Below are 18,795 nucleotides of genomic sequence, written 5' to 3'. Positions count from 1 at the left end.
CTCCATTTTGGTTTGGTTTGGTCTGTTGGGGCCTAGTGCATGAGCTCACAATGGCCTCCCATAATTTTGTTTTAAAATAATTCCCGCTTTTGTCTGGGCGCGGTGGCTCACGCCTGTAATCCCAGCACTTTGGGAGGCTGAGGCGGGCGGATCACGAGGTCAGGAGACCGAGACCATCCTGGCTAACACGGTGAAACCCCGTCTCTACTAAAAATACAAAAAAATTAGCCGGGCGTGGTGGCGGGCGCCTGTAGTCCCAGCTACACGGGAGGCTGAGGCAGGAGAATGGAGTGAACCGGCGAGGCAGAGCTTGCAGTAAGTCGAGATCACGCCACTGCACTCCAGCCTGGGCGACAGTGGGATACTCCGTCTCAAAAAAAAAAAAAAAAAAAAAAAAAAAAACGAAAAAAAATTCCCACTTTTTGGTCACGTTCTCACTTAGGTGGGGGCAATCCCCCGCATGCACAGACTGAGCTAATACTTTGGTTTAGAGCACAGCGTTTCGATCTCTTGGATTATCATCACAGGGATTGGAGGCGGGTGAAAGCAAAGTGGGGCCAGATTAGGGGCTAACACTTAATGAGCCTTGACTATATGTGAGACAATTTACACACTTCTTTTTTCATTCAATCTTCATAATTTTTGAGGTAGGTATTACTACCCCATTTGCAGATGAAGCACTCAGGACCAGGGAAATTAGTGACTTGATGAAGGTCACACAATTACTGAGTGATGGAGCTAGAACTCAAACTCAAAGGCTGATTTACCCCAAGCTGGCACCCTTCCCCACTACAATGTGTTGCCTGCCAAACTCCATTGCCTTGAGTAAGGCTTCATGGAAGCAGTGGCTTAATGGAGTACAAAGTCAAGGGCTCTGAAATAAGAAAAGTTGAATTTAATTCTTTCTGTGTGGACTAGGGGGAATCCCTTGTCTCTAGGTCTTGCTTTTCTTAACTGTAAAATGGGGACCATGATACCTGTAGCACTGGAAGCTTAGGCAGATCAGATATGTCTGAAAGTGCTTACACTTGCTTAAACTTCATAAAAGCTATGTAAATGTCCATGGTGGTTGTTAGGAAATGGTAGAATTTTAGGATGTCTCTGAAAAGGACTGTGCCCAGGAAGGTACCAGATCAGGGTTGGCTCTCTGCTTGAGCCTGGAGACATGAGATGGAGGGAGTGGTTTGACGCACCTGGCGCAGGAGGGCTTTGCCCTGTATTTGGTACTTTAAAGCAGATTAGTAAACATTAACTGAAATTAATCCAGGCACCACACAAAAAGTGGTTTGGGTAAGAATTGATCCTTTCATTAAATATTTGTTAACTCAGTCTGTGCAGGACTCTGAGCAGGGCCCTGGAGAGATCTGGAAAAATGAAACAGGTCCTTTAACGTGAGACAGAGCATGCTAAATACCACTAGAGAGGTTCTCTGGAACTGCAGGGGAAATGGAGATGAAAGGCACAGACCCTTGCTCAAAGAGCTTCCACCTGGCGGAGGGATACACTGCAAGCTGGGTAGAGTTATCAGAATCATCACAGAGGTAGAGCAGAGCTGTGGGTGGTCAGAGCTTGGGGACAAGAGACTGAGTGATAGGGAAGGTGGAAAACATTGGGTGGGAGATTAAGGCTCTTTTATTTGTGAGTGGTCAGAGCTTGGGGACAAAAGACTGAGTGATAGGGAAGGTGGAAAACATTGGGTGGGAGATTAAGGCTCTTTGTTCTAACTCTGAATGGGCAGCGTCAATTTGAAATGGAATCATGGTGGGTTTCAGGGATTGAGAGGAAGGGGACAGGGAAGGATGAGGCTGGAAGGGAGAGACTGGTGGGATGCTGTGAGAAAGGGGATGGGGAAAGGGGGGACAGGAATTGCCCAGAGAGGAGCTGTTTGCTTAGAGAATGGGTCCATGGGTAGGCTTCCCTTCTGAAAGACAACTTCATGACATGGGGAGGTTTAATGTATCAAAGTCTTGCCCCTCTTATTAGACTCATGTCTTTAGTCATTTAATTTTTCTTAATTTCAATTACTTCATCTCTAAAATGAGGTTGATTATACATACTTCATATGGTTGTTGTAAGGAATGAATTGAATCAATGTCATAGCATGAGTGCCCTAAGACATACATATAAGAATGTTCCTGGCTGGGCACAGTGGCTCATGGCTATAATCTCAGCACTTTGGAGGCTGAGCTGGGAGGATTACTTGAGACCAGCCTGGGCAACACAGGGAGATCCCCGTCTCTACAGAATATTTTTTAAAAATTAGCTATGCGTGGCGGCATGCACCTGTGGTCCCAGCTATTCAGGAGGCTGTGGTGGGAAGATTGTTTGAGCCCAGGAGATATAGGCTACAGTGAGCCATGATCATGCCACTGCACTCCAGCCTGGGCAACAGAGCAAGACCCTGTCTCAAAAAAAAAAAAAAAAAAAAGGATGTTCCTAGCCATGCTCTGTGCAATGCTGGAACCCTGGAGCCATTTAAGTGTCCCTTCACTCAATGGATAAATTGTAATGTATTCATAAAACACAATACTATGTAGACAAGAAAATGAATGAATGAAAAGTCTAGGCATCAACAAGAATGAGTCTCTGGAACATAATGTTGAATGAAAAAAGTGAGGCTCACTCCTGTAATCCCAGCACTTTGGGAGGCTGAGGCATTGGAATCACTTGAGCCACGATTAAAGTAATTTATATAAATAATGTTTTTAAAAAAGAAAAAAGTGAGTCACAGAAAAATACATACTCTCCACTTCCTTTAACCTAAAGTTAGGAAACATGAAAAACTAAAAAAAGCACTTTGAGGATAAAAATATGTGGTAAAACTATGAAGAACAGCAAGGGAATAAAACACAGAAAATTCAGAAGAATGGTTATCTCTGGGGTGAGAAGGAAGGTGATAGGGTGGGGTGTTCCTCAGGGCGGAACACCGAGGAGGTTCCAAAGGTAACAGTAATGTTCACTTCAAAAAACTGGTTTTGGGTGCATGCGTTTTGTTGTATCATTCTTTATACTTTTTACCTACTTTGTAAGTATTTTTACCTACTTAATTTTATTACAACAATTTGAAAAACCTATCCCATCGAATACCAACTGCTGTGAATTATATAATAGTTGAAAAAGACATAAGCAAATTTAGAGAATTAACTTGGAATGACTTGGCTTTTGGTGAATTAGCTTCTAAGATATTAACCATTCAGCAAAGTGATGGTTTGAGGAATTCTTCATTTGGCCAGCTGGCTTTCTGTGATTTACTTGTAGAAAAAATGACCTAGAGTCTGGTGTTCAGTAAGATCAGGGCTATTAGAAGGAAGAAAGAGTGGACATGCCTGGAGCAAGGATCGTAACTCCGCCTGGAAGAGGAGGGGAGGTTTGTTGGAGATCTGTGTTGAGTCTGGAAGAATGAGTAAGCACCGACCAGGTCTGTATCTGTGTGTGTTCTGTCATGTATATGTATATACGTGAGTATATACACATGCTATTGGGTGTGTATTGATTCAGAATCGTTTTATCCTTCCGTTGACTTGAACATTTTATCATACCTAGGGACCCTCTTTAATCCTGGTAATGCTCTATCCTTAAAACCTCTTTTGTCTAATATTAAAATAATTACTATACCAGCATTCTTTTGCTTGATACTTGCCAGGTATAACTCTTTCTTTACTCTTACTTTCACCTTTTTTTTGTATTATTTTATTTTAGATTCATATTCAGCAAACAGCAGATACCTGGTTTTAAATATTCACTTGAGGAAGATGGTATTTTCCAAAGATGGCTGCACCAGCCTATGCCAGTCCCAGTGTGAAACTGATCCTCCTCCTTTGAGAAGTGGAGTCTGTGTTCACTGCCCTTTGATCTGGGAGATCCTGTGGAAGTGACACTCTATGACTAATGAGGCTAAGTCACCAAAGGCAATATATTCTTAGGACACACACCTTTGGAGCCCGGGGCTAGCATGCTGGAGACACCAAGGGGAAGGAACACAGAACTAGAGGAAGAAGCTTGAGGAACCCTGGCTACTAGAGTCTTAGTGCAGGCATGAGAAATGCAAATGAGGAAGCCTTTAGGACACTCCATTCCCAGCCACTGCCTGACTGCAAAATGAGGAGACTGAGGGTCAAAGGGAAGGGGAGGCTGAGAGTGGGAGGGGGGAGAGTGAGCAGCAGGGAGGAAAGAGTGAGGGGCAGAGAGAAGACGAGACCAAAGGATGTGAGAAGAATGAAGTCATTAGAATATAAACATTCCAGAATGTATTTATGAACATGTTATTCATGAATATGTTTAAGAAAAGGAAACATCACTGATATAGTCTTATTCAGGAGTAAGAATGTATTCTTCAAGAATATATCTACATTAGAATAATACGTTCTGGAATATTAAGGATTCTTCTAGACATATTCTTTTCCGGCCCCTGCATTTCCCCCTCTGTCCCTAAGGCTTTCCTGCTCTCTGCCACTCCCCAGCAAACTCCCCTCTCTCTCTGTCCCTCAGTCTTCTCCCTTCTGACCCCAGTGTGTCCCCTTGTACCTCCAGTCTCCCTCTGCCCGCTGGATGGAGCCATTGTCTGCTGGTACTGACTCCCCGCTCCTAGCAGAGGGTCCCTTCTGTCTACTCCAGGTCCCTCTAGTTGCAGCAGCTGGGAACCAAGCACAAACTGAGCCCAGTGAGCATTCCTCAAAATACTATCCTGAAGATAAAGTAAAGACCAGTCAGCTAAAGGCAGCTAGAAATCTTAAAAAGTTGTTCAAGCTATCCCATCCAGTGAAAATCTCCATTTACTTCTTTTAAATAGTTAAAAAAAGGAAATTTGGAGACTTGCTCTTTGGGACTTAGCCATGCAGTGACTTTCTCATTCAGGGCAGTGTCTTTGAACACACTGGCCTGCTTCCCCAGACGGGGCGCTTCTCCAGGGCAGGATTCCGGTCTAGTTTATCCCTTTGTCCCCAGTGCCAAGCACAAAGCAGCCACCGGCAAAGCTTTTTTAAAGAGAAGAACAGACACATTGAGTTTGCACATTTGAAGCCAGGGCCAGAACTTATTTCCTGCCACCCTGATGGTAACAAAGATGCATTTTGCACTGTGCTGGGCTGTCAGCAGCCTGTATAACCTGTTCATTGATCCAACAATTTGGGGGTTGTAGGGAATTTCCCGAGGATTTTGCCACTGAGAATGGAAGCCAGGGCACAGGAGCCTCAGAACAGCAGAAGCTGAATTATCTTTTTGCTAGTGATCAATAGGATCCTGGGCTGTAAGATAAGATGTGAGAGATCCTGTCAGCCTGGGTGGGACCTTGGCAGCTGTCCCACTCTGGTTCTCACTTGACCTCCTCCCTCCCTCTCCCCTGTATACAATGGGGTTCATTTTCAGTTCTCCCACAGGCTGGCACTGTGTGAGGACTCAGTGATGAGAGTCATGGTAGCCCCTGACCTCAGGGCTCCCAGACTTGGAAATGAGGCAGGTTTGAACCCCATTCATATCCATATGGGGGATGGCTGCAACCATAGCAACCTGACCATACAAGCACTGCCTAAAGGGAGTGTCTGGAGCATAGAGAATGCCCAATAACATTTATCGGGTGAATGTGTGGTTAGTGCGGGTTTCTCTTCCTGGGTCAGCCATCTCCTCCTTCACAGAGCAAGTTTTCATCAGAACTGGGTTGGGAGGCATGGACACCTGCTTGTCAGATGATGGGAGCAGGGAGTGGAGGAGGGGGTTTCATTTGAAGAAAAGGAAGCAGTAGTTTCCTAGACAGAGAGGTCTGAAACAGTGTAGGGCTACTGTGGCATTATAGGTAGTTCAGGAGGAATGCAAGGAGGTGCCTCGGGGGAGATGGGGAAGAGGGGAAACAAAAGATATCAGGCTGTAGAGGGAGGCTGAGGCTTTTTCTTGTGGCACTGGGGAACTCATGACAGGTTGTCAGCAGAGGAAAGACATGACCCGATTTTCATTTTAGAAAAATGGCTCTGGTCATCTGTGTGGGGCTTAGATGGAAAGAGGGGAGACTGTTAAGAGGCTGTTGTCACAGTCCAAGTGAAAGTTGATGTGGCCTGGCTTAAGGGAAATAGGAGACTCATTCAAAACACCTTTACAAATTAGAACAGACAAGACGAGGTGACTGATGCGTCTCTCAAATATGTGTTATGTTCCTGCTGTGTTCAAGAAAACATAGGTATGTGAGAGAGATGAGAGGTTCAGAGATGGAGGAGACATGTAGACATGTCCCTGCCCTTACAGTGAGGACATGCATTCGTTATCACGTTTACTGAGTGCCCGCTCCGTCATGCGCGCAGGTAAACACAAGGTTCAAAGCAGCAAGTGCACAGGGAGCAGGAATGTGAAGTGCTGTGAAAATTTAGGTGCAGGAAGGACCTTGGAATATGGGGTGTGTGATACTCACGGGAGGCTGCTCCAGGCAGGGGAACATTGTGAGCAGAGGCACAATGATGTCAAAGCCTAAGGAACTGTGGCTTGGGGGGTGTGGGGCAGAGGGTTAGAGGGGGACAGAGAGAGAGAACATAGCAAGGACAGCCAGGGGTGGACTGTAGTGAGCCTCAAACACCAGCCTAAAGAGCAGCGGTGAAGAGGGCCAGTCGCAGGGGTCACAAAGCCTTCCGAGCAGGACAGAGGCATGGTCTGAGCTGTGTTTTACAAAGACAAATCTCATACCATGCTCAGGACAGCTGGAAGGGAACAAGCCCTTCCCTGAAGGGGACTACCAGTAGGTGGCCGTTGGCATAGCTTCCATGAGAGAAGATGATGCTCTGAGGGAGGTTTCTGGCAGAAAGGATGAAACTGAAGGAACAGATATGTGAAATATTGCAAAGGCAACCTCAAGAGTCCGCATATGTTTATTGTTTGTTCACTGGGCTCTGTGCCTGGTGCTGAGGGTGTGGGCAGATTCAGGCACCATTAACAAAGATCCTGTGCTTGGCAAGCTCACAGGCCAGTGGGGAGAAGGGAAAAAGGAAGTAACATTTGTTGCCTGAGGATTAGGTCTGGGTACTATGCCAGCAGCTTGACATGCATTATCTCATTTAATCTTAAAGCCACAGTCTCTGGAGGGTAAAGTGATTAGTCCAAGGTCATACTGACTAATTACAGGAACCCTCCAAAGATGGCGTTTTGCCTCCTATACCAGGTGTCTCTGTGGGAGCCATCTAGGTCTTTCTTGCATTCACTCCCTCACTGCATATGTAGATATTGCCACCTGCTTACATCCCATCGGTGACTCTCTGTTGCTCTCTAAATTCCATGCCATGCCCCCGTGTGATCCCACCTCCCTCTTATCTGCCGCTTTCCATGTCTTTAATCTGCTCTAGCCACACTGTCTCCTTTCTGTCCCTGAAATAGTCAAGCTTATTCCTGCCTCAGGATCTTTGCACCTGCTGTTCCTGAAGCCTGGGAAGCACTTTTCCTACATCATTGCATGGCAAGGTCCTTCTCAATCTTTTCATCTCTGCTCAAATTTCACCTCCTCATGGAGGCCATTTCTGACTACCTTAACTTACATAGACCCCTCAATCACACCACAGTACTTCTAGCTTATATTTCTCCTAGAACTTATAATAAACTGAAATCATCATATTTAGTTGTTTATATCTTTACTGTCTCTACATAAAGTTAAAAGATTAGCCAGGTGTGGTGGCATTCGCCTGTGGTCCCAGCTACTGGGGAAGCTGAGGTAGGAGGATCGCTTGGGCCCTGGAGGTCAAGGCTTCTGTGGGCCATGATTGTGCCACTGCACTACAGCCTGGGCAACAGAGGAAGACCCTGTCTTTAAATAAATAAATAAAATTTAAATTATTAAAAGCTCAGATCTAAGGAAGGAAATGGTCATGTGTTCTCCTGACTTAATCTTTTTAATTTTTTTTTAAATCATGGAGTTACAAACTGTTCGGGTTGGGTAGGAACCATTTCAGTCTTTAGAACCAGACGAACCTGGACTTAAATGCCATCTCTGCTATTTGCTAGCTTCATGAGTGCGAATAGGTCACTTAGCCTCTTAAGCCTCAGTTTTTACAGCTATAAAATGGAGATAATAATGTCTACCTTACATGAGGTATTTAATTAGATACTGAGTATAAATTGCCTGGTATGCACTTGGTGCTTATTAAATGTTAATTCCTCTTCTCTCCATCAAGGGACTATGTGGGTGTGAGCCTATTTCATTTTCCAGGCTGTGACCTCCCAAGGACCGCTCTGTCTTTCATCATTTCCCTGCCAAGGGGAGCCAGTGTGTCACAAGGACCTGAAGACAAATACGTTTGTTGAAGAAATGGTGAAATCTACTCCAAGGCCCTTGTTTTAGTTCTGGCTGCTATTTTTTTTTTTTTTTTTTTTTTTTTTAGAAAAAATACCATAGACTGGTGGCTTATAAGCCATAGAAATTTATTTCTCACTAATTTTTAGGTTGGAAGTCCACGATCAGGCTGCTAGGATGGTCAGGATCTGGTGAGGGCCCCATTCTGGATTACAAACTGCCTTCTCCTCCTTGCATCCTCACATGGAGGAAACAAGGCAAGAAAGCTCTCTGGCATCCCTTTCATAAGGGCACTAATCCCCCATTCATGGGGGGCGCTCCACTCTCATGGCCTAATCACCTCCCAAAGTTCCCATCTTCTAATGCTATCACCTTGGAGGTTAGAGATTCAACATATGGGTGGGCAATATGGCAAGACCTCATCTCTACATAAATTTTTAAGTAAAAATGTTTTATCTTAAAAATATATTAAAAAAAGAATTTCAACATATTAATTTTGGGGGACACAGACATTTGTCCGTAACAGGCCTTATTCTGTAGATGAGGAAGTTATAGCCCAGAGTGGCAAAATGACTCTCTAGGCTACACAGCGTGTGAATGGCAGAGTGCAGCTTAGAGCAGAACTTAAGTAGCCCAGTGCTTTTTGATGCCCCCTGAATGCGGCTGCTTTGGTTTTTTCCATTGTTCACATGCAGCATTCTGAGTCCTGTCCTAGGTTTCACATACGTCCACACAGCTCCCAAGGCTCAGGGGGATTTTTAGGCTGTAAGGAAGCCTGTGCCAGAGCTAGTAAACAAAGCTGAAATATTTCACAAGCTTTATAACAAGTGTTTATACACAGGCTTACTAACTGGCCTACAATGGTAAACTGTCTCTGAAATAAATTCTCACGGGCTGGAAGTGCAGGCAAGCACACCATTATAGCCACCAGCCTCCAGCCTGCTGAGGGATCATTCTGTTCAATCCACAAGGCTTCCTGAAGCCACCACAGTGCCTGGCCTTGTGCTGGGCCCTGGACTCCTAAAGACCAGTGAACCTAGGCTGAGGGGAAAAAGAAAACAAACAAACTTTTTATCAGAGGGATGTGAGCCCCCTTTAATTATCAGGCCCAATGAGGCACTGAAATGTGGCACCATATGACAGCAGTTACATTTCACCACCCCCTTGAGCTAAATACTTAGCTCTCGAAGCCACTTGCTACATGGGCTCTAGACTCACTGATGCCAAGTAGCCATAAAATGCCATACACTGGACACCATAACTCATACCCTATAGTTCAACAGTTATAGCCAATCACTAATCAATGTTATTTCTATAAACCAGTGAGAATCCCTGTCAAGCAACTTTATTTTGCTGTTTTTTGTTCTGTTTTGTTTTGTTGTTTTTTGAGTAAGAGTCTTGTTCTGTCACCCAGGCTGGAGATCTCAGCTCACTACAACCTTTGCCTCCCAGGATCTAGTGATTCTCCTGCCTCAGCCTCCCGAGTAGCTTGATTACCAGTGCACACTACCATGCCTGCCCGGCTAATTTTGCATTTTTAGTAGAGACAGAGTTTTGCCATGTCGGTCAGACTGGTCTCAAACTTCTGACCTCAAGTGATCTGCCCGCCTGGCCTCCCAAAGTGCTGGGATTACAGGCATGAGCCGCACTAGCCCTTGTCAAGCAACTTTGTATCAGCCCGTTTCTTGTACCCTTGTGCCTTTAAAGCCTGCTTATAACAAAGGTGGAACAGAGAACTCCCCAAGGCAACTTGGAAGTGTGTCCTGGGCAACTATCCTGAGCCTTGGCCTGAATAAACTCTCTACATAAATTTTGCCTTAGCCTCTTTCCTTAGGTTGACAAGGATGTGTTAGTCCATTTGTGTTCCTATAAAGAAATACCTGAGACTGGGTAATTTATAAAGAAAAGAGGTTTATTTGGCCTATGGTTCTGGGGGATGTACAGGAAGCATGGCAGCATTTGCTCCTGGTGAGACCTCAGGAAGCTTACAATCATGGCAGAAGGCAAAGGGGAGCCTGTGTGCCCCATGGCAAGAGAGGGACAAGACAGAGAGGAGGGCTGGGCACAGTGGCTCATGCCTGTAATCCTAGCACTTTGGGAGGCCAAAGCAGGTGGATTGCTTGAGCCTAAGCATTCAAGACCAGCGTGGGAAACACAGTGAGACTCCGTCTCTACCCACCCCAAAAAAGAAAGAAAGAAAGAAAAAAATTAGCCGAGTGTGGTGGCATGTGCCAATGGTTCCAGTTACTCAGGAGGTAAGCCTGGGAGGTCGAGGCTGCAGTGAGCCATGTTCATGCTACTGCACTGTCATCTGGGTAACAGAGGGACACCCTGTTTCAAAAAAATTAAAAAGAGAGAGAGGAGGAAGGCACCAGACTCTTTTTAGCAGCCAGATCTCATGTGAACTTATTACTGTGGGGATGGCACCAAGCCATTCATGAGGGATCCACCTCCATGAGCAAAACATCTCCCACTGGGACCACCTTGAACATTGCAGGTCTTGTTTCAACATGAGATTTGGAAGGGACAAAATATCAAGCCATACCAAGGGAGTAGGAACAGACATGGACATGGGGCAATGACCACATGATATAAAGTGGTCTGAGCCAAGACAGACACAAATGCAGAAAGCAGAAGGATCCTCCAACCCAGTCTGGTGGAAACCTGCAGGGAGCACTTTCTGGAGGAGGGGACATGTTAATTTCATACTTTCTATGTAAAGAGTATATTTTCTTCTCCTGGTAACATGGCTTTCAATGGAAAACTTGTGGTTGAGGAGAAATGAACTAGCCCCAAAGTACTTTAGTCTTGCATCTTAGAAATTTGGGAAATTCAGATTTGCCCAGGGGCTCCTGATGGATGCATTTTTGTCTCAACACCATATATATCATCCTGAAAACAAAACAAAACAAAGCAAAACAAAATCCTTTTGCAAAATACTATGATGTAAAAATTATAGGGCTTAACAACAACAACAACAACAAAGTTTGGAGCAGATCATTTAAAACATATGGTCTTTGTAAGCACAGTTCTAACAAAAACAGCACCAATCCTAGTAAAACAGCCTCAGGGTTAAATCACCAGCATTTGCACCCAGCATCATAGTCACTTCATCCTGGCAGCTTTAAACCTTTGGTTTTTGTACTTTCTCCCAGATGTGGGACCTTTATGGCATACATTTGTAATGGAAATTGGATTCATCAAAGTGAAAAATATGATCTAAGGTTTAGATTTCTTAAAAAACTAAACTTTTTTTTTCTTAAATACAAGAGGAAGTCTCTCCACAGCTTCTTCATCTGCACTCTTTGCTTCCCCAAAGGGCCTAACATAGTGGAAAGGGTAGTGTGTTCTTTTTTTTTTTTTTAATTAAAAAAAACTTTTTGTAGAGACGGGGTCTCACTATGTTGCCCAGGCTGGTCACAAACTCCAGGGCTCAAGCGATCCTCCCGCTTCGGTCTCCCAAAGTTCTGAGATTACAGGTGTGAGCCACCATGCCCAGCTGATACTGGGTTCTTAAAGACACTAAATCAGCAGCTACTTCCACCAGTGAAAGGTGCTTTTGCAGGATTTTCAATGTTTTTATAAGGCCTTCATACTTCCTCCTTTATTAAGAGAAATTTTGCTTCTGATTGCTTCAAAACATGAACTTGCTGGAAAATATTGCATGTGAACCAACATGACTTTCATATAATATGGACACCGTGGCTCTCTTTACCAATCGGGTGGGAGCTATTCCCACAAAAGAAACACACATTTTGGGAGATCAGACTTAGGAATCTTCCTTGGGGATGGGCTACTTCTTCAGGAAGTTTTCACAGAACCTCTGGCCTCTCCTTTTTTCCTGCCAATGACCAGAGCCCACTTTCCCTTCACAGTGCATCACCCTTTACAGCACACATACCTGCACACTCATTCCTTCAAGTGTTACAACAGTTTTGTGGATTAAGACATGTAGAAGGCAGATGCCATTCCCAGCACTCCGTCTCATGGGACAAGGGGAAGGGATTAACAACTGCTGAGGGCCCCCAGGCTGCAAGCGCTGTGCCAGACATATGCCATATGTCCCCTAATTTCCTTCTCACAACAGCCTGATGAGGCCAAGGAGTGCTTATTTCTGAGGCAGTTTGATGTTATCCTCTCGTTTCAGGAGAGGAACGCGGATCTCAGAGAGAAGCAACAGGGCAGGATGGAAACCTGGCCCTGAATGAAGATAACACCTGTGGTCTTTCCCCACCACACCTCAGGGAGCCAAATAGCAACTCCTAGCATAATGGATGAGGTTATCCCACTGCAGAAAAGCCCTTGAAAACCTGAATATCTCCCTGGCCAAGAGCAGCAAGCTGACATCTCAGCAGGACCATATGAGTAATGATTCCTATTTGGTGAGCATTTATATAAGCCAGGCACCATGCCAAACGCTCTGCAATATTCTCTCTCCAAACTTCTCCCGGACTCCGTGAAACAGGATTTTGAAACCCAACTTGGAGGTGAGGAATCTGAGCCCAAGAGAAGTTCAGCAGCTTGCCGAAGGACATGAGACTTGTTAAGCAAAGGGCCAGGGTCTGAAGCCACATCAGACCGACTCCATGTGAATCTAAGGGGTAGTCCAGGGCTGAGACAATTTTATGTTTGGCTCAGAGTGTCCGCATTGGCACCAGAGACCAAAAGCAAGACAACCTCCACAGGTTAACCTCGGAGACTAGAGCCCCACTGGAAAGGGAGAAGTCTGAGAATTTGGGCTGGGCTGTAATCCCAGCACTTCGGGAGGCTAAGGCAGTGGATCACCTGAGGTCAGGAGTTCGAGACCAACCTGGCCAACATGCCTGTAATCCCAGCTACTTGGGAGGCTGAGGCACGAGAATCACTTGAGCCTGGGAGGTGGAGCTTGCAGCAAGCCAAGATGGCGCCACTGTACTCCAGCCTGGGCTATAGAGTGAGACTCGCTCTAAAAAAAAAGAAGGCTGAGGATTGGGTGGATTAAGAAGGGAGTGGTGAGGCTTTTCGTGGGGAAGTGGACAGTATTGTTCACTGCTCTGCCTGCCCGTGCCTTGTCCTGACCCCCACATGAGGAGGGGAGAAGGGGAGCTTCTTTTTTACTCAGGCCAACTGAGGTGGGCTCCCAGTGAACCATCCAGAGAAAGTAGCCTGTGTTCCTTGACATTTAGCGGGTATAAGGACTGGTCACGAGATGGGGTACTTTGGGAATGTCCTAGTGTCTGGCTGGGCAAGGATGCCTGGGGATTTCCATGGCCCAGATGGATCCCCATGGCAAGGAGCAGAATTAAAATGGTCACAACACAGTTCAAGAGGACTCCTAGAAGGGAAGATGACCCCTCAGAAGGGACAGATGAGAGCTGGACTGAGGGAAGAGGCAGAGCACCCAGCCAGAGAAGCCAAAGCCAAGTCAAGGGACCATAGGTGGGAGAACTCCAGTGACAGGGAAGGGCTGTGGGGGCCCAGGGACCTTCATGCAAGACAAATGCCAATAACCACATAGCGATCTTGAAGAGGGCCCCATTGCCAAGCTCTTCCTGCAGCAGTCAAATTACACCTTATCTGCTTCTTGTCTCTCCTGTCCACCTGCACTTGATGGAAGTGGTAGTGAGGGGATAATAGCAGCTAGAGAATGGGGGCAGAGGTGCCCAGTCCTACCAACAGAACCCCTTAGAGACCGCGGAACTCATTGCCACACACCTTTGGACACTCAGTTACTTGCTTCTGATGCAGAAGGACAATCATTCAAAATGGTTAATTTTCTTATAGTGAATACCCAACATCTAGAATGAATTGTCAGCTGGGTGCGATGGCTCATACCTGTAATCCCAGCACTTTTGGAGGCCAAGGCGGGAGGATCACTTGAGCCCAGGAGTTGGAGACCAGCCTCGGCAACATAGTGAGACCCTGTCTGCACAAAAATGAAATACATTTAGGGGGCGGTTCCAAGATGGCGGAATAGGAACAGCTCCAGTTTACAACTTCCAGCGTGAGCTACACAGAAGACGGGTGATTTCTGCATTTCCAACTGAGGTACCGGGACACAGACACCCTCCCAAGACTAAACCAGGAAGAAGTTGAATCTCTGAATAGACCAATAACAGGCTCTGAAATTGAGGCAATAATTAATAGCTTACCAACCAAAAAAAGTCCAGGACCAGACGGATTCACAGCCAAATTCTACCAGAGGTACAAGGAGGAGCTGGTACCATTCCTTCTGAAACTATTCCAATCAATAGAAAAAGAGGGAATCCTCCCTAACTCATTTTATGAGGCCAGCATCATCCTGATATCAAAGCCTTGCAGAGACACAACAAAAAAAGAGAATTTTAGACCAATATCCCTGATGAACATCGATGCAAAAATCCTGAATAAAATACTGGCAAACCGAATCCAGCAGCACATCAAAAAGCTTATCCACCATAATCAAGTGGGCTTCATCCCTGGGATGCAAGGCTGGTTCAACATACGCAAATCAATAAACGTAATCCAGCATATAAACAGAACCAAAGACAAAAACCACCTGACTATCTCAATAGATGCAGAAAAGGCCTTTGACAAAATTCAACAGCCCTTCATGCTAAAAACTCTCAATAAATTAGGTATTGATGGGACATATCTCAAAATAATAAGAGCTATTTGTGACAAACCCACAGCCAATATCATACTGAATGGGCAAAAACTGGAAGCATTCCCTTTGAAAACTGGCACAAGACAGGGATGTCCTCTCTCACCACTCCTATTCAACATAGTGTTGGAAGTTCTGGCCAGGGCAATCAGGCAAGAGAAAGAAATAAAGGGTATTCAATTAGGAAACAAGGAAGTCAAATTGTCCCTGTTTGCAGATTGTATATCTAGAAAACCCCATCGTCTCAGCCCAAAATCTCCTTAAGCTGATAAGCAACTTCAGCTAAGTCTCAGGATACAAAATCAATGTGCAAAAATCACAAGCATTCTTATACACCAATAACAGACAAACAGAGAGCCAAATCATGAGTGAACTCCCATTCATAATTGCTTCAAAGATAATAAAATACCTAGGAATCCAACTTACAAGGGATATGAAGGACCTCTTCAAGGAGAACTACAAACCACTGCTCAATGAAATAAAAGAGGACACAAACAAATGGAAGAACATTCCAAGCTCATGGAGAGGAAGAATCAATATCATGAAAATGGCCATACTGCCCAAGGTAATTTATAGATTCAATGCCATCCCCATCAAGCTACCAACGACTTTCTTCACAGAATTGGAAAAAATTACTTTAAAGTTCATATGGAACCAAAAAAGAGCCCGCATCACTAAGTCAATCCTAAGCCAAAAGAACAAAGCTGGAGGCATCATGCTACCTGACTTCAAACTATACTACAAGGCTACAGTAACCAAAACAGCCTGGTACTGGTACCAAAACAGAGATATAGATCAATGGAACAGAACAGAGCCCTCAGAAATAATGCCACATATCTACAGCTATCTGATCTTTGATAAACCCGAGAAAAACAAGCAATGGGGAACGGATTCCCTATTTAATAAATGGTGCTGGGAAAACTGGCTAGCCATATGTACAAAGCTGAAACTGGATCCCTTCCTTACACCTTACACAAAAATTAATTCAAGATGGATTAAAGACTTAAACGTTAGACCTAAAACCATAAAAACCCTAGAAGAAAACCTAGGCATTACCATTCAGGACATAGGCATGGGCAAGGACTTCATGTCTAAAACACCAAAAGCAATGGCAACAAAAGCCAAAATCGACAAATGGGATCTAATTAAATTAAAGAGCTTCTGCACAGCAAAAGAAACTACCATCAGAGTGAACAGGCAACCTACAGAATGGGAGAAAATTTTTGCAATCTACTCATCTGACAAAGGGCTAATATCCAGAATCTACAATGAACTCAAACAAATTTACAAGAAAAAAACAACCCCATCAAAAAGTGGGCAAAGGACATGAACAGACACTTCTCAAAAGAAGACATTTATGTAGCCAAAAAACACATGAAAAAATGCTCACCATCACTAGCCATCAGAGAAATGTAAATCAAAACCACAATGAGATACCATCTCACACCAGTTAGAATGGCAATCATAAAAAAGTCAGGAAACAACAGGTGCTGGAGAGGATGTGGAGAAATAGGAACACTTTTACACTGTTGGTGGGACTGTAAACTAGTTCAACCATTGTGGAAGTCAGTGTGGCGATTCCTCAGGGATCTAGAACTAGAAATACCATTTGACCCAGCCATCCCATTACTGGGTATATACCCAAAGGACTATAAATCATGCTGCTGTAAAGACACATGCACACATATGTTTATTGTGGCACTATTCACAATAGCAAAGACTTGGAACCAACCCAAATGTCCAACAAGGATAGACTGGATTAAGAAAATGTGGCACATATACACCATGGAATACTATGCAGCCATAAAAAAGGATGAGTTCATGTCCTTTGTAGGGACATGGATGAAATTGGAAACCATCACTCTCAGCAAACTATCGCAAGGACAAAAAACCAAACACCACACGTTCTCACTCATAGGTGGGAATAGAACAATGAGATCACATGGACACAGGAAGGGGAACATCACACTCTGGGGACTGTTGTGGGGTTGGGGGAGTGGGGAGGGATAGCATTAGGAGATATATCTAATGCTAAATGACGAGTTAATGGGTGCAGCACACCAGCATGGCACACGTATACATATGTAACTAACCTGCATATTGTGCACATGTACCCTAAAACTTAAAGTATAATAATAAAAAAAAGACATAAATTGATACTTTCAAGGTATACATTGATTCAGCCCAGAAAGGTAGGACATCTCTAAGCTGGGGGGTTACAGGTCATAGGTGGATTTAAAGATTTCCTGATTGGCAATTGGTTGAAAGAGTTGATCTTTTCCTAAAGAATTGAGTCAGCAGAAAGAGAGATGTGCATTGAGATAAGGGGACTGGAAGCCAAGGTTCTTGCTATGTTCTTGTTATATAGACAAAGCCTCTAAGTAAGCAGTAGATGGTAAATGTCTCTTATGGAAACTTAAAGGGTATTAGACTCCCTGGAAAAGACCCACTTAAGGGAAGGAGATTATCTACAGAATGCACACTTCCCCAGCAAAAGACCAGCTTTGCAGGGTCATTTCAGGATATGTCAAAGAGATATATTTTGGGCTAAAATACTTAGATTTCTTTCAGGGCCTGCTATCCGTCATGTGATGCTATACTAGAGCTAGGTTGGAATTTGGTATCTTATTGCTACAAATAGTCTGTTTTGTCAGTCTTATGATCTCTGTTTTAATATAGACATTGGTCAGCTGTGCCTAAACTCCAAAGGAAGTGGTTATAAGGAGACATGTTGGACTTCCTCTTCCTGTCATGGCCTGTACTAGTTTTTCAGGTTTTTGGGGGATCCCCTTGGCCAAGATGGGGGTCCATTCAGTCAGTTGGGGGGCTTAGAATTTTACTTTTGGTCTGCACCCCTCCCTCTCACTCCCATATTCAGTCAGTCACAGAGTCTTGTGGTCTCTCTTCCTATCCAGGTCCTCGGCCCAGCTCAGACCTCAGCCACTGTCTCTAGACCATCACAAAGGCCTGGACTCCTAGAGATTACCCTACAAATTCCTCTTCCTCTCCATTCTGAGTCAGCTTGAACCAGGATAATATTCAGTTTACTCAGCTACTGTCCTTGAGGGCAGAGAAAGAAGCCAAAAGCTCCCAGTCTTGGCAGGGGAGGAGACCAGTGCTTAATGGGGATGACTGGACCTGTGTTTTCAGGGGGCAGATCTCAGGGGAATTAGGGAGAAATTGATTATAGGCATCAGAAGGAGAAAAGTCCTGTGTATCACTGGGTGCTAGTTGGGAGTCCTCAGAGGTCAGGATGCTGACTGGGCTGCCTCTTCTGCTGGGAGTGCAGGCGCTGGCCATTTCATCTTGGCCCTTCCACATAGCCCACACCCAGCCCACACATGCTTTAACAGGTTTTTACTCAGGCGGAAGGCCTGGGGCCCAGGTCCTCCCTGGAAAAACTCAGAATGGGATGCCAAGACTTAATTATGGGAAGACAAATGCCCTCAGGCCCCTGGCAAGAGAGGCTGTGGGTGTTTGAGGTTGCCTGCCAGAGCATGCAAACCTCACCTGTGAGTTTGGTAATAGCGTGACCCTGGCTCAATATTTTTCTTTTCTTTTCGTTTCCTTTTTTTTTTTTTTTTTTTTGTGACAGGGCCTCGTTCTGTCACCCAGGCTGGAGTGCAGTGGTGCCATCATGGTTCACCGCAGCCTCAACCTCTCAGGCTCAAGCAATCCTTACACCTTAGCCTCCTAAGTAGCTGGGACTACAGGCATGTGCCACCACACCAGGCGAATTTTTTTTTCTTTTTGTTAGAGACAGAGTCTCCTTATGTTGCCTAGGCTAGTCTCGAACTCCTGGGCTCAAGCAATGCTCCCACTGCAGCTTGCCAAAGTCCTGGGATTACAGGTGTGTGCCACTGTGCCTAGCTCGAGATTTTTCTTTAGTCCTCAGATGTGGCACTGCTTCTTGGGT

General features: G+C 44.9%; 1 annotated feature.

The window, feature by feature from the left end:
• Positions 3,268–4,467: an enhancer, noted in NCBI's record as "CDK7 strongly-dependent group 2 enhancer chr11:76550011-76551210 (GRCh37/hg19 assembly coordinates)". NCBI's record gives its function as "activates an origin of replication core promoter dependent on BRD2, BRD4, P300/CBP, MED14 and CDK7 cofactors, with strong dependence on CDK7, by STARR-seq in HCT116 cells {active_cell/tissue: HCT116}" and the evidence as "EXISTENCE:reporter gene assay evidence [ECO:0000049][PMID:35650434]".

Source organism: Homo sapiens, chromosome 11 (genome assembly GCF_000001405.40).
Source record: "Homo sapiens chromosome 11, GRCh38.p14 Primary Assembly".
In the NCBI taxonomy this organism is placed as follows: Eukaryota; Metazoa; Chordata; class Mammalia; order Primates; family Hominidae; genus Homo; species Homo sapiens.
Note: the sequence above shows the minus strand (reverse complement) of the source record. Positions and strands in the feature narration are given on the sequence as shown.